We start from the raw sequence: 15,971 nt of genomic DNA, 5'->3' as shown, positions 1-15,971 counted from the left end.
AAAAGGGCTATGTGGCTCAGAGAGATGAATAGCCAAGGAAAAGACAACCTGTAAATCGCGGTGGGGAGGTGGATCTGCATTATCAAAGTATATATGCTGCCTTTGACTTTCCTGCTTAGAAACTCCAGACTGCCAGGCAGAGTGATCCAGAACAGAGAGCAGAAGGCTCTCGGGCAATTTTCCAATGCCAGCCTTCGAGGTGCAATTCCTTCTGGTTCCTGATAGGTGCACTTTTCTAGGAAACTGGGCTTCTGTGATCTTGAGGCTTGGGTACCCACCCCAGGGAGGCAGTCCCCCGGCTGGGGAAGACAGACTCCATGCACCACAGATGCTGCTCATTACAGACACCCTGAAAAGCTCTTGGAGATACCTTGATGGAGGCTGATGATAGGCTGGCTTCTGAAGGCAAGAAGCCAGGGTTTTTCTCCATTCCAAGGTGCCAGTTAAATCTATTTGATGAGTAAGCATGAGGAAAAAAGGCATTAGCTGAACTACTCAGTTCCAAGCTTTCTCTGTTGCTGAATTTTTTGTACAACCTATTCAGTTCTATACTTGCCCCATAATTTTAAAATCAAAAGGATAACCAAAACTTTAACAAGATCTCTCTCTATATATATATAATATATGTTATATATATTATATAACATATATTATATATAATATTATATAATATATATTATAATATATATTATATATTTTATATATAAAATAGTATATTATATATATATATATATATATATATATATATATATCTACATTTGACCTTGTCTCTTCCTCTGCAAAATTTAGAATTTCTATCCTATTGCCATGGCTTATCCTGGATCTCTTTGCAAAACTAAAAAATGAAAAGCAGGAAAAAGATTATTAAGACTGTTTGGCCCTACCATTGAGAAGAACATAGATGCCCTACCACTGAAATTTAGGCATCAGAACACAATAAAAGGAACCATTACCTTTGTTCAGTACTTAATAGTTTTGAAGTACTATGGTACTTGATTGTGATATTAATCAAGTGAGGTGCAGTGGTTAGGGCTTACTACTCCCTTAAAAAGTGGAGCAAACAGGAGTAGAGAAGTTAAGTAAATTGTCCAAAGCCACACAGCTATAAAGAAGCTAACTTTGACCTAAAGTGGGTCTTCTTCTGACTGTCTTGTTGGAATTTTTTTATACTACATCACCACCACAATCATCACTGATGAAAACAAAGTAAAAGCCAGGGAGAATGAAGGAAAAGTAAAAACTGTTTCTCCTTGAGAAAAGCAGTGAGATTGCATTACAGTTCTGATAACACAGGGACAGGCTTTTCCTCTTCCTCTGCAAAATCAGAGCACCCCTGAGAGTAACTACCAAAAGAAAAAGCTTCCTCAGTTTTGGTGGGGGTTCTCAGAGCTATGCTTCCTATTTTCCCATTATAGGCTTTCATGTATTTTAGGAAGCCATGTATCACATCCATCCCTAAATACATGATAGATGTATTTAGAAATTGAGAAATAACTTATCTATATTATACCCAAGGGTTTGCTTTATAAAGATTTCTAAGTTTATGTTGAAATAAAGAGTTAGAAGTGGGGATGCTAAGAAGAGAGATGTCTAAAGGGGAAATTTAGAATGAAATAATAGATGCTCATCTACCTCCCTCTATCCCTGCATCCCTGCACGGATTTCTTCCTCCTATAGGAGGATCAGAGGAGGGGAGGAAGGAAAGGAGAAACATTGGAATGCGGACAGACATCAGAAGCTGCCCGGCCAATGAAAGAGCAAAGCATTGAACAAAACAAGTGCATTTCCTGAGGAGCCTCAGCCCCAACTTGATCAATGATTCTGCAACACTGAATCATTTTTAATTTAATGCTTCTGGGAAGTGAGGGGGGGAAACCCATCAACTACAGGCACAGTTGGCAAGAGCTGGGTATTAGAATTTGGCAGCATTTATTATCACTGTTTATGATGGCATAAATTAGGTTTATGCTGATATAATTAATAACTCTAAATTTGGGGATAATAAATAGTAATATTTATTCAAAATGGCAATGTCTGAGGAAGGCAAATGGAGTCCTCAAGCTCCTGACGCCTTCTGTGTATGCAGGCGATGGTGGGAATGGGGTGTATGTGAGGAAGCCCTTGGGAACACACTCCCAGAATCCAGCCCCAGCACTATGCATCATTTAACACTATGCAAATGACTTAGCAGCAGGACCTTAAGAGTTCCCAGAGCAAATAATTTCCATTTTGATCTCTACGAACAAGTTCATCAGAAAGATTGAGTGTGTTGCCCTCTAGAACCAGGGCCCTCAGTGCTGTCTGAGTCCATACTATGTCTGTGGTTTATGGACAGAGGTTTGGACGGTTGCACCAAGTGCCATGTTCTTCATGGGTCTCTCCACCTCCTTCCACTTGTCTGAAGACGCATTGCGGATGCCCTGCAAATTCTCTACAGACCATGATTTGGGAATTACTGACAGGCATTTGCCAGGCAGGAATTTAAGGCAGAAAACAGTTACTTCTGCATATTTTTTAAAATTTAAATATGTGTCTGTCTTTCATTTTATAAAGTTGTAAACAAAAGCTGTGAGATTAAACTATTCCTATAATGTTCATTTTTTGTTTTTTTGTCTAGGAGAATATCTTCACATTCAAAATGGCTGAGACCTCCACCCCTACTTTTTTTCCAGTGAGGGCAGGAGAAAGTGAGGAAAAATTGTAGTTCCTCAGACCCCTTCTGAATCAGAATAACAATTTTCCCCATTTTTAAATATAAGGAAAGTAATGCAAAGGAAGATTAAAAACCCTTTTGCCCATCTCCCCTTAGAGCATCTTGACACAGAGATGGATAAACAGGGTAGAACCAGAACCCAGATTGACATTTTCATCCAAACACTCAACCTCTGCTTCATGTCTCAAAATTCTTAAATTTTTCTAAAAACCAAATGAAGCAAAAATTTCCATCCACCAATAATTCTGCTCTGTTTCAAACAGTACAAAATAGCAAAGCAATCTAAATTAAAATGTGACGAATGAAACTCAGGAATTAAACATGATTGCAAGTTTAAGCTCCTTTGTCAGCTCCCAGGAAGAGCAGTTGAGTTCCATGTGGAAGGAACAGATGACTGGTAGAGGTTAAGCTTTAACTGCGAAGAGATTATGATTTTCGGATAGCAAACATTTCACAGAGAGATGTTACAGCAGGAGCTTTGAATTGCCCTAGCCTGTGCCTGAAAGGAGAAGTTTGGAGCTGAAACCTTGGAATGAGAATTCACAAGGGAGTCAGGGGAATTTTACTCCCCCATCTTGTCATTAGCATCATTTCTACAGAGAATATCAATAGAATTATTCATTTCCCAGAGGCCACAGAACATAGAGAACTTTCTCCTACAGGTTCTTCAGCTTGTGATCATGTAAGCTTTCAGAGAGGGGATGCAATGCCTTGAAGAGTTACAGAAAGAGAGAGATTGAGAAACAGAGATAGAGACAGGGAAAGAAAGAAAGAGACAGAAACGCCTGCTGGGAGCTGACCATGTGACAGCCAGTTGCCCTCTGCCTTTGCTGGTCTGCGCTGCTTCTTCCTGTCGCTCCTTCTCCCTCCTGCAGAGGAGTCCTGGTCCTCTGCCCTAGCTTTGTGGGTGAGCACTGCAAAACTCACACCCATAGGCATACAGGGAATGTGCATTTCAGAAGCCAAATGTGGACCAGCGAATCATGGGAAAGGGAATCATTCCCCCACATGATCCAAGAGTCCCACGATCATAAATCCAGCTTGGAAGGATCCACAGACCCCATGCTTATTAAACCTTAGCCTGTTGGAGAATGCCCAGACATAAAACAAGGCTCCCCAGTATGGCTTCAGTAATTCTTTCAAGACAGTAAATGATGACTAAAAGGAGAAAAAGGGAATTAAAAATGCTAAGTGATTGTTATGCGCACAAGTTCAACAAAAATCATACCTTCAATGAGTAGTACACAAACTTTACCTTCCTATCTGACCTATAGTAAAACATTTTAGAAGCCTTTCTGTTCTGGAATGACCTTACCTGGAGGGCCACATTTTAAGAGACTTTAGAAAGATTAGGTACACTCAGAACTAGACTTACAAGACATATATTGGGCACTTACCACTTCCCAAGTTCTATGCTGGAAACACTCAAGAGGAAAGACACCAGGATGATTGTCTAGAAGCTTTGACACAGTGGGGCTGTATAACCCTAGTGAAAAGAACAAGAGCTTTGCAAACAGATGAACCTGAGTTTAATTTCTGACTCTGAAACTTATTAGACACGGGACTGACCTTGAGTATGTCACTCAATCTCCTTTTGCCTCAGTTTCATTTTTCGGTCTGCAAAATGAAATTAAACAGTTTACTTTTTCAGGTAGTTGTAATAATTAGAAGTTATAAATATAAAAAATGAAAATAAAATCATGTTTATCCAATCAGATTGACAGAAAATGAAAAGGTTGATAATGTGTAGTGTTAACAAGCATATGAGGACCAGTCACTTCTATCCATTAGTACAAGGAATATAATCTGTGAATTTTCTAAGGAGGGTAATCTGGCAACAATATGTATCAAATATAAAATATGTATAACATCTGACTCAATTGACTACTTTAAAAATTTATCTTAAGAAAATAACCAGAAAAAATGCTAAGAATAAACAAAATATTCATCTTTCTACAGTTTATAATGAAGAATTGTTTACATTAATTATGGCCCCATCAATACTGAAAGATGGTTATTTTTAAAACTGATCATTTAATTTGTATTTTTGCCATAGGAAGATGTGGTTAGTTTATAAATTATACTACAAAATATATTATCTTATGAAAGTTAAAATAGAAATATACTTAAAGATATAGCTGATATACCTAAAGCTGTCAATTTATAGACAAATGGCTAAAATATCTCCTTCAACTTGCTAATAATGTTTTTCTCTGGGCAGCTTGATTCAGGAAGAGCCTCTACGTTACAAAATTCCAGAGGCACTATGTAATTATAATAGATTATAATGTAAATGATGCCCTTTGGAATTATACAATGCAATAGTCCTGAATTTAGGTGCCTTTAAATTTCTTCCTTAAGCTTTCTCTATACATATTGAATTGTTTATAATAATGATGTGCATTTTTTCCCACTGGAAACAATAAAATCATTTTGTTTTTTGAAAACAATGAAGTCACATAGACAGGGTGCTAAGAACCATACTACGGCATGTTGAGCACTCGGTAAATAGATACTTTGCACTTATTTTCACTTGTTGTTAAAACTCTGCAGACTACAGTGCTCAGATGCCCTTGACAGTTGACAGTAGGTTCTGCCAATGAGAAGCCCTAGAGAAAGATAGGAAGGCAAGTTGAGAAAGAAACACACTCTTTCTGTTTCCCAGTTCCAGTTAAGAAGACCAGAGCAGCTGCAATCAAATATGTCAATCCCTACTCCTTCAGCTCCCATAGTACCAGCATTGCTGCACTCCATCAAAGGCATCAGCAGCAGGAAGAACCAAATGGTTCCTTTACTATTTGGATACAGGCCACTCTAGACTCCTTCACCCTCTAGGCTGTGCCTGCTGTGCACTGAAGCCCTAGCCAGATCAGTCTCCCTTCACAGAGTTCCAAACACCAGCCTCATGGAGCCCCTCAACCTGCTAGGTTCTGGTAACTCCTCCTCTGGCATTTGCTTCCTCCATTATTACAGGTGGTAGCTGCCTCTACAGTTCTTAATCTTTTTTTTTTTTAGCATCTCCTTTTGAACTTAGACTTCTACCACTTGCGCGAACCTTGTATTAGATTTGTACTAATTCCTTATATTAAGTCTTATTTTTGAAACACCTATTATCTTGGCTGTATCATGTATCATTTTTATAATTAGAAAACAAATCTATTTTATTTTCTTAAATGTTCTCATTTTACTGAGTACATCTCTTAAAATGTATTAGCCATTGTACTATTTCCACTGTTCCCTTAGGAATTTCGTTACGTATGAGAGCCACTTTTCCCCTTAACCAATCTTAGGCATAGGCACTTTCTTTTTTGTTGTTGTTTTTTTGCTTTTTTGTTTTTTTGAGATAGAGTCTCACTCTGTTGCCCAGGCTGGTGTGATCTTGGCTCACTTGCAAGCTCCGCCTCCCAGGTTCATGCCATTCTCCTGTCTCACCCTCCCAAGTAGCTGGGACTACAGGTACCCACCACCACAGCTGGCTAATTTTTTTTTGGTATTTTTTAATAGAGACGGGGTTTCACTGTGTTAGCCAGGATGGTCTCAATCTCCTGACCTCGTGATCTGCCTGCCTCGGCCTCCCAAAGTGCTGGGATTACAGGCATGAGCCACCGCGCCCGGCCAGGCATAGGCACTTTCTTTAAAGCCCAGTAGCATAGCTGAAACAAGACTAGAAGACTGATTAACACTTAGATAGTCAATTATATAGCAAAAGATAACTACTCAAAAAAATTAAAACTGATTATTAGTATAGCTGTTCTCATTCTCAAGAGGCCACTTGTCTCCTCTGGCCTCCCCCATATGGCAGAGGCCATCATTCCTCTATGACCTACGGGGACCCCCTGGTTAGACCTGAGTATTCCCAATTTAAAGCTCAAGAGCATTGCCTCTTTCCCTTAAGGGCCCATTTTTCAGGTACATTTTCCTCTTCCAGAATTTTCCCTGTTCCTGGAAAAGGATGATTAACAGTGGGAATAACTAACACACTTATTGACTACACACTTCTTCCTGTCCACAAAGAAGCCTTCATGGGTACCAGCAGCATGGCTTATAGTGAACATGGCAAGTATGCTCATTGCCGTGATCTACAGGCCCAGCATCACATCTCCCAGATTATCTGCATAATCCCATGTAGAAAAGGCAGCAGCTCAAGAAACAAATGAGACTGAAACTTTCCCCAGTCAATTGTTTGGGATCTCAGAGAGTATCTTCCATTCTTACTTGTTCAAATGAAAAATGACATACTTACTAATCAGTCCTCTGTTTATTTAAATTCAACAGATCTGTGAAATCCAAAAGTCTGAGAGCCACTGCTGCATGTCATTATACCAAAGGACTTTAAATACATTCAAAAGTAGAGCTGAGTTCAAAATGGGAAGGAAAAGGCCTGGCCCAGCCCAGAGGAGACAGTCTAAGCTCCTGGTGATCCTGGCGAGTTGAGTGAAAGTGAGCCATAGAACAGAAGTCCCATGACAATAAATATTCACAGTCAGCTGAGGTGTTTGCAGCCAAAAGCTGGCAGTGACAGGGAAGGACACAGCATTCTCTAGTAGAGAAAGCTGGAAAGTCAAGGTAGAGTGTCCAGGATCAAGCCCAGCTAGGAAGTGAGGATGAACCAAATCATTCATCCCGGGCAAGAATAGCAGAAATCTGGGCAAGGCTGCGCCATGGCTTCTCCCAGGCACCCTGGATATGAAGATCTGAGTCAGCAAGATGAATTTCAGAACCAAGCAGCTGATGGGGCTAAGACTCTATTTATATCTCTATCCAAGGTTGGGAAGACCTGATAGACCAAAATGAACAAAGGATTTGAAGTTAGCTCTCCCACAAGCTAGTCATATAACCTTGGGCATGGATGTGTGTGTGTGTGTTTTCAATATCTAGACAATTTCTTATGCCAGTTCCATGTTGAACTAGCTATGTAATTGTGGATAACTCACTTACCTCTTTGGTCTCAGTTTCCTTATCATTTGAATGACTGGGACTAAATAATATACAAGAATCTGCCCTGCAAGAACATGTTAAGGTTCTTACATTCTAACTCCCTTAAATATCTACAGCAAAGTAATGTGGGATAGACTTGAGTTCCTGGCTCTGTAACACCAGCTGTTTAAACTGCACTCAAAACTGAACGCCTGTGTGCTCAACTTTTCTTATCTAGAAATTGCATAGAACACCTACATTTGTTGGGCTATAGTGATGATTAAGTAAGACAATATATGTAAAGGAACTAGCTTCTTTCTTGGCCCATAAAAGGTGCTGAATAATTTTTTAGATGGATTCTGTGAGTGCTCTTATTGTAAAGTCTTCACAACCCACAGTGGAGTAAACACTACTGGCACTAACTTTAAATGGTCCCAGATTGTTAAAATGGTCAAGATTTTGTATCTGATTTTTATAGCTTGATTTGTTTCCTCTAGTGCATTCAACTATTATGTTTTAATACCTTGGTGTATTTACTTATAGTGGAGTCTTTGCTCTTTATTGCTGTTTGCTTCTGTTCCACAATGGCCTTGAAAGAAGATAATCAAGTTTTTAGAGTTGTATATACTCTAAGAATCAATATGCCCTGGTTCTCCTGTAAATAAAATGTTAGGCTGTGTGTTGACTTTATAAAAATTATTTTGTTACTACCACCCAACAACCAAGATAAAAAGATTGGGAATCATGCTTGACTTATCCTCTCCCTCACCCCGTGCTCATTTATACATCATGTCTACCTTTAATGCAGTTCAGGAATCACCTGTCTTCTCCCCACTTCCCACTCTAATCCAGCTACCAATTATCACTTCTGCTCTAAGAAAATCTGTTGACTGCCCATTCTATTTTTACCCCACCTTGGGAAGATTTTTAAGTGTCAAGAAACCGCTGGATCAGTCCTCCTGATTTACTTAGAACTCAGCCCAATTCAACACAAACTACCAGGCCAGAAAGATGACAAAATGTTTGTTTGTTTGTTTGTTTTTGAACTTAACATAACCTTCCATCTTTGTATTTTCTTTCCCTGTTCAGACATGTGTTGCTAAGAGATCCTTGGCTTGGCAGGACTCCCTAAATTTTGCTGGGAAATCATGCCTTTATTTCACTGGACACTCTTATCAAAAGCTATCAGGCACTCTCAGAAGCTCCATCACCATCACCACAAAAGGAAACGGGTCTGCTTTTATTCATTATTGCAAGCTCCATAAGGCCCATTTTTATTGGTGAGAGAGAAGTAAAGCCTTGTAGGCTAAGTGCCAAGTTCAGGTTTTGGTTCTCTAATCTTTATGCAAGGATTGTCTCTTTACTGATCAGACAACACACAGGACATTTCTTTCACCTTTAAGAAGCCTACTAAGAATGCCCACATTAATCACTTCTATTCAACATAGTACTTGAAGTCCTAGCCACAGCAATCAGACAAGAAATAAAGGGCATCCAAATCTGTAAATAGGAAGTCAAACTGTCACTGTTTGCCAGTGATATGATTATATACCTAGAAAACCCTAAAGACTCATCCAAAGAGCTCCTACATCTAATCAATGAATTCAGTAAAGTTTCAGGATACAAAATCAATGTACACACACTGCTATACACTAACAGTAACTAAGCTGAGAATCAAATCAAGAACTCAGTCACTTTTGCAACAGCTGTAAAAATAAATAAATAAATAAATAAATAAATAACCTAGAAATACACTTAACCAAGGAGGTAAAATATCTCTACTAGGAAAACAAAACACTGCTGAAAAAAAATCACAGGTGACACAAACAAATGGAAACACATCCCATGCTCATGGACAGGTAGAGTCAATATTGTGAAAATAACCATGCTGCCAAAAGCAGTCTACAGACTCAATGTAATTCCCATTAAAATACCATCATCATTCTTCAAAGAACTAGAAAAAACAATCCTAAAACTCATATGAAACCAAAAAAAGAGGCCACATAACCAAAGCAATACTAAGCAAAAAGAACAAATCTGGAGGCATCACATTACCCGACTTCAATTGTACTACAAGGCTATAGTTACCAAAACAGCACGGTGCTAGCATAAAAATAGGCATGTAGACCAATGGAACAAAATAGAATATCCAGAAATAAAGCCAATACTTAACAGCCAAGTGATCTTTGACAAAGCATACAAAACATAAAGTGGGAAAAGGACATGCTATTCAATAAATGGTGCTGGGATAACTGGCAAGCCACATGTAGAAGAAGGAAACTAGATCCTCATCTTTCACCTTATATAAAAATCAACTCAAGATGGATCAAAGACTTAAATCTAAGACCTGAAGCCATAAAAATTCCAGAAGATAACATTGTAACAACTCTTCTAGGCATTGGCTTAGGCAAAGAATTCAGGACTAAGAATCCAAAAGCAAATGCAACAACAACAACAAAAAAAGAGACCTAATTAAACTAAAAAGCTCCTGCACAGCAAAAGAAATAATCAGCAGAGTAAACAGACAACCCACAGAGTGGGAGAAAAATCTTTGCAAACTATGCATGCAACGAAGGACTAATATCTAAAATCTACAAGGAATTCAAACAAATTAGCAAGAAAAAAAAATCCCATCAAAAACTGGTCAAAGGACACGAATAGACAGTTCTCAAAAGATATACAAGTAGCCAACAAACATATGAAAAAAATGCTCAACTTCACTAATTATAAAGGAAATGCAAATTAAAACCACAATGAGATACCACCTTACTTCTGCAACAATTGTCATAATTAAAAAATCAAAATGTAATAGATGTTAGCGTAGATGTGCAAAGAGACCACTTTTACACTGCTGGTGGGAATGTAAGCTCGTACAATCACTATGAAGAACAGTATGGAGATTCCTTAAAGAACTAAAAGTAGAACTACCATTCAATCCAGTAATCCCACTACTGGGGATCTACCCAAAGGAAAAGTCATTATATGAAAGTCACTTGAACACACATGTTTACAGCAGCACAATTCGCAATTGCAGAGATATGGAACCAACCTAAGTGCCATCAACCTATGAGTGGATAAAGAAAATGTGAGATATATAGAAATACATATATATATATATATCAGCATGGCATAAAATGGAATGAAATAATGGCCTTTGCAGCAACTTGGATGGAGTTGGAGACTGTTATTCTAAGTGAAGTAACTCAGGAATGGAAAATCAAATATCATATGTTATCATTTGTAAGTGGGAGCTAAGCTATGAGGATGCAAAGACATGAGAATGATATACTGGACTTTGGGGACTTGTGGGGGAAGAGTTGGGGGGTGAGGGATAAAAGACTACACATTGGGTACAATGTACACTGCTCGGGGGATGGGTGCACCAAAATCCCAGAAATTACCACTAAAATAACTTATCCACGTAGCCAAAAAAAAAAAACCTGTTCCCCCAAAACTGTTAAAATACATTACAAAGGACAAAAGACCACAGCGTCACAAAAAGGAGCCTATTAATAAGAATATACCCAGAGAAAACCAGTGAAGATGAGAACATCGAAAAAAATACCATATACACAAGATTTAGGTGAACTGCATCAAGGTTGGAGAGAACTTCACATGGGAAAATTCAGGCACGGATGAGGGGGATTAGATTTTATCCATGGGATATCCTAAGGGAGGAATGATTAAAATGGGTGAAGCTCACAGGACAAAGATCAAAACACAGTAAAACACAAATCCACCTGATGATACACAACAGAGTGGGCATGCCCTGAAATAAAATGTCAATTACAGAACTAGTTCAAGCAGAAATTAGATAAACCATGTGTTACGTATGTTCTAAGGAAGGGTCAGGCACTGAGACTTTTAAGCTCTTTTATGATGAGGCATTATCCATTCAGGCAGTCTCAAGTTTTTTCATAATGATGTGCTACGACCTGTAGATTTTTCCTTCAGTAGAATAACACTATGATTTCCAAGTCCCTTTCAGCCAAAATTGTTTGGGTAATCCAAGTGATCTACAAAGTGCCTTGAGCTCCATGATGAAAGATGCTATATAAATGAAAAGGTAATTTTAGTCATATCATAATAAATAATGGTAATGATGATAAATGCCAGTGTCACTAAGGAGAAGCTGGCCTGCCATTTGGGAATCCAAAGCAACCAGCTGTGAGCTGGAAATAATGTGTGTCCAGGCCAGGAGGATACTCAGTGACTGAGATCACATTAACCTTTAAACCAAAGATCTGGATAAATCCCCTGGTTTGGTGGTGTAAGCATTTAAAATTGAAGAAACTACAGTACTTAATCCCTGAGCTTGAATATTGCCTTGGGTTTCTGAGACCTTTTCCAGAATGGTCAACAGGGAGCATGTTGTCTTCCTCTTCCAACAGAAGAGAAAACTGACTAGGGCAGGAGAAAAGCCAGAATTCCCAACGAATCATATGACTCTAGATCCAGGGCTCTTTCCATTCTCTACTGGACCTCAGACAATTCCAGCGAAGGAGAGATTTCAGAAAAGAGCCAACTTGGATGAGAAAATGTCAAAATGGGATCATGTCCCTCAAGATGCCTTGCATAACTGTTTTCCATCCATTTAGGCTGAGAAAGTTTGCTAGTAAAATCTTTGGCTGCTCAAGCAGGGAGGAGCCATTCACTGATGTCCCAGAGCTGTTCTCTGCCATTAAAGGAACACATAGCAAGAGTCGGCTGAGTTCTGTTTGACCAGGAGCGAACACTGCTTTGGGGCCTTTCCAGCTTGAGAGCTCAGAAGGCTAATTTCTTTCCAAGGTCTGATCGAGTTTCTTAGTGAAGAACTTGGCCTCCCAGTTTTCCCATGTGCTTAAAGGCCAATCAGTCACCACAGAGAAAGAGAAGAAACCCTGCTCTCTGCCCAACATTCTCTGCCCTCAAATAATCTCTATAAAAAAGTAAATAAAATGAAGTCTGGCAACAGCTAAGCTGGGAGGAGCTCACCTGTAAGGAACACATGGGTACATGGGTGTCTTTCCTTTCTGTATGTGTGTGTGTGTACTGAAATTTTATTTTTATGGTCTGTAGCTTTTATTTGCTTTCCTTTAACCTGGTTTAACATATTTCATCATTTGGAATTTATGCTTTTCATCTTTTTGTAATTTATCATCTTCATACTTTTAACCTTTTCAACTTATCTATCTTCGGTGCTTATCTTTTGAAACTAGTCTATTCTTGGCTGTTTAACACTTAAATTGTTTCTTAAAAATTGAATTATTTCATCTTTCTTACATCATTCTTATTTATTTTAAGTCATTTTCATTTTATTTCTTTGAAGTTTTTGTGCTTTTAGCATTTCTTTATAATTCTCATTTTGTCTCTTTCATTTAACAATTTTAATATTGCTCTATTTTATAGTTTTCTAAACTTCTTTTTTGCTTCTTTGATACTAATTTTTATTAAAAATACATTTTCCATTGTAGGTTTTGAATTTTTTTTCCTTCAATGTTTTCAGTTTATCTTGTATTCTCTTTTTCTCATGGGATAGAATGTCCATTCCTATTCATCTATTACCATGGCAAGGGGCGGCTTTATCCTTTGCCCACAAAGTTTGAAAGACCTCTTTGTGGATGTTAATCCTGTCACCCTCATGCACCACCTGTGTGACTTTGGGTGCCTCATCTGATGTCTGGGCCTCAGCTCACAAACTCTGAGAATGTGGTCCATTTCAACAGAGCTCACCAGGCACAGGAGCCATCTTTCCCATCATATATTTCGAAGAGTTCTGTAAGGGCTAGGTAAAGAGAAGAACAACCTCAACTTCTGTTTTTCAGCTGACATTTTATTTAGCTAGAGGGACACCATTCTTATAGCTGTGTCCTATCAGAGCTAATTGAGAATAAAGATTTCCCTGTAGTAAATATTAATAAGTAAATAAAAGCATTGGTCTTACTCTGAAGAAATCACAGTTTGGGCCCTGACTTTATCATTAACCCACCATGTGATTTGGACAAGTCATTTGATTACCCTGGACACCAGTTTCCTCCTTTTTAAAAGAAAAATGTTAAACTAGATTCTTCCTCTGCTATTAATTGCCTGTGATTCTATAGCTTCCTATTTTTTAATTAATTTGTTTTGTAGAGGTGGGGTCTCACTGTGTTGCCCAGACTGGTCCAAGTCTCAAGTGATCCTCCTGCCTAGGCGTCAATTCTATACCTTTCTATTCAAAGAAACCATGAGACTGACATCAGTGTGTATGGAAAGTATGTTGTTATTTGTAGCAGAAAACAGAAAACCAAGAGTTTATTCTCGACAGAGTACCGAGGCCTCTCCAATCACGCCTACTTGGTGAAATGACAGTGTCACTGTGGTAGCATAATTGTGGGTTTGGCTGAGCCAGGTGCCTGACATACTTGCCGTTGATGACACCATCTGGGTTGAGCATGGGTATGATCTTGAAGATGAAGTTTTCCCTCAAGAGCCTAGCCACAGGGTCACTGCTGACCAGGAACTCCAAGGTACCCTTCATCACCCAACTGGCATTGCTCTCTCCTGGATGAACTCGAGCAGTGATCACCTGATATGGACGATGTCCTGCAGAAAAAGGGACATAAGAAAATTAAACCCAAATTTTAATATTGCTCTATTTTATAGTTTTCTAAACTTCTTTTTTGCTTCTTTGATACTAATTTTTATTAAAAATACATTTTCCATTGTAGGTTTTGAATTTTGTTTCCTTCAATGTTTTCAGTTTATCTTGTATTCTCTTTTTCTCATGGGATACGATCTTACTCATACAGAATCTAAAAAACCGTAGCCTTTTTGAAGATACAAACTGATTTTCACATGATTGGCATGAGGTTTTAAATAGATGGATTGCTCCTAACACATATCTGATCTACATTTACCCATTTTCTATCTTCCTCTGTGGTCTGCAAGACTCAAGAAAGTATGAAGGTACAGCTCAAGGCTGTCATCAAAAATGTAACTATTTGATGGTATGAAAAGAACCCAAGAAGCAGATTTTATCAAGATCACAAAAGAAATAACTAATTCTCCAGAGTTCAATAGCATGATGCTAGATGTCACAAATCTGAGATTGATTATCTTCATCTCTCACTACCTCTGGGATCTCAGGCAAATGAATTAATTTCTTTCACACTATCTCCTATCTATAAAATGGGGACAATAATACTGACTTTATGTGGTTGTTATAAAAAACAAAAAGAAGTAAATATAAAGCACTCACTATATTGCCTGCCATTCAGTATGTGTTAGCTCTTTCCCTCCTCATTCGTAAAGTCTGTGGGTGGGATGGTCCCTCTCATTCCTTAGCAGAAATAGAAGGCAAGTAACAGAAGCAGTATCTTTGGAATTCCATGACTGTAAGACCCTGAACCCAGTCCTTGAGAGAGATTTGACAAAAGAGTTAAATATCTGGAAGCTCAATCTTGGAGTTACAATGCTTGCTTCACTTTGCAAAGGGAGTCAGGAAAACACTCTCTGCCCAGTTACAGGTAGTGTATTGACATGAACAGTCTTTATGGAGAATGTGCTGATGAGGGAAAGATAGGAATGTCTTCCCTCCTTTGTTTATAGAAGATAGCTGGAGTATCATAGTGCTGAAATGCATTTTAAAGCCATGTCTGGGCTCAGGTGGAAAATGTGTTTTGATTCATTTACTGACGTGTGTGTGTATATATATATATATATATACACACACACACACACACATATATATACACACACACGTATATGATTTTATATATATACACATATATATGAATATATGATTTTATATATATATATATACACATATATATGAATATATGATTTTATATATACACACACACATAGATACAATAGAATACTATTCAACCATAAAAAAATGGAATTCTGTCATTTTCAGCAACATGGATGAGTCTGGAGGACATTGTGTTAAGTGAAATAAGACACACACGGAAAGACAAACATGATACGATCTTACTCATACAGAATCTAAAAAGCCGTAGCCTTTTTGAAGATACAAACTGTGTTTCAAATTGTGCACAAAGAAAGAAAAAATTGAATATCTTTTGATAACAGAGCTAAAGAATAGGCAATGGAAGATATAAAGAAAACACTTTAAAATTACTGAATTATGTTATTATCATCACTAAGACCAAAAAAAAAATAAAACCTAAAGACTATCTGTCTCTTCCGTATTTCTGCTGACAGCCATTAATCCACTGAGGTCTAGATTTAAGGGGTGTAGATCAGTGCATTTTTACTGACTACGGTGAAAACAGGTTACTTCAGCTCCTTGTAGGTCACCTATACACTGGAGGTAACACTCAGCTATATTTTCCCTTAAGCAGGTGTCTTGAGCATA

The 15,971-nt window shown here is 38.2% G+C and overlaps 1 protein-coding gene across 7 annotated transcripts in view; it reads right to left on the bottom strand.

The window, feature by feature from the left end:
* Positions 1–15,971, bottom strand: part of AGBL1 (AGBL carboxypeptidase 1) — a 951,857-nt gene that overhangs the window by 619,917 nt on the left and 315,969 nt on the right. For 5 of the 7 annotated variants that reach the window (XM_011521227.4, NM_152336.4, XM_017021919.3 and 2 more), the window contains one exon: positions 14,014–14,194. In XM_011521227.4, coding sequence (XP_011519529.1) covers positions 14,014–14,194 — 181 coding nt within the window. Of the gene's footprint in view, positions 1–4,077; positions 4,200–4,282; positions 4,331–14,013; positions 14,195–15,971 lie in introns of those variants that run through there. The other 2 variants (XM_017021920.3, XR_007064423.1) reach the window with 2 other exon arrangements.

This window comes from Homo sapiens, chromosome 15 (genome assembly GCF_000001405.40).
Source record: "Homo sapiens chromosome 15, GRCh38.p14 Primary Assembly".
In the NCBI taxonomy this organism is placed as follows: Eukaryota; Metazoa; Chordata; class Mammalia; order Primates; family Hominidae; genus Homo; species Homo sapiens.
This window is presented reverse-complemented; position numbering and strand designations above follow the sequence as displayed.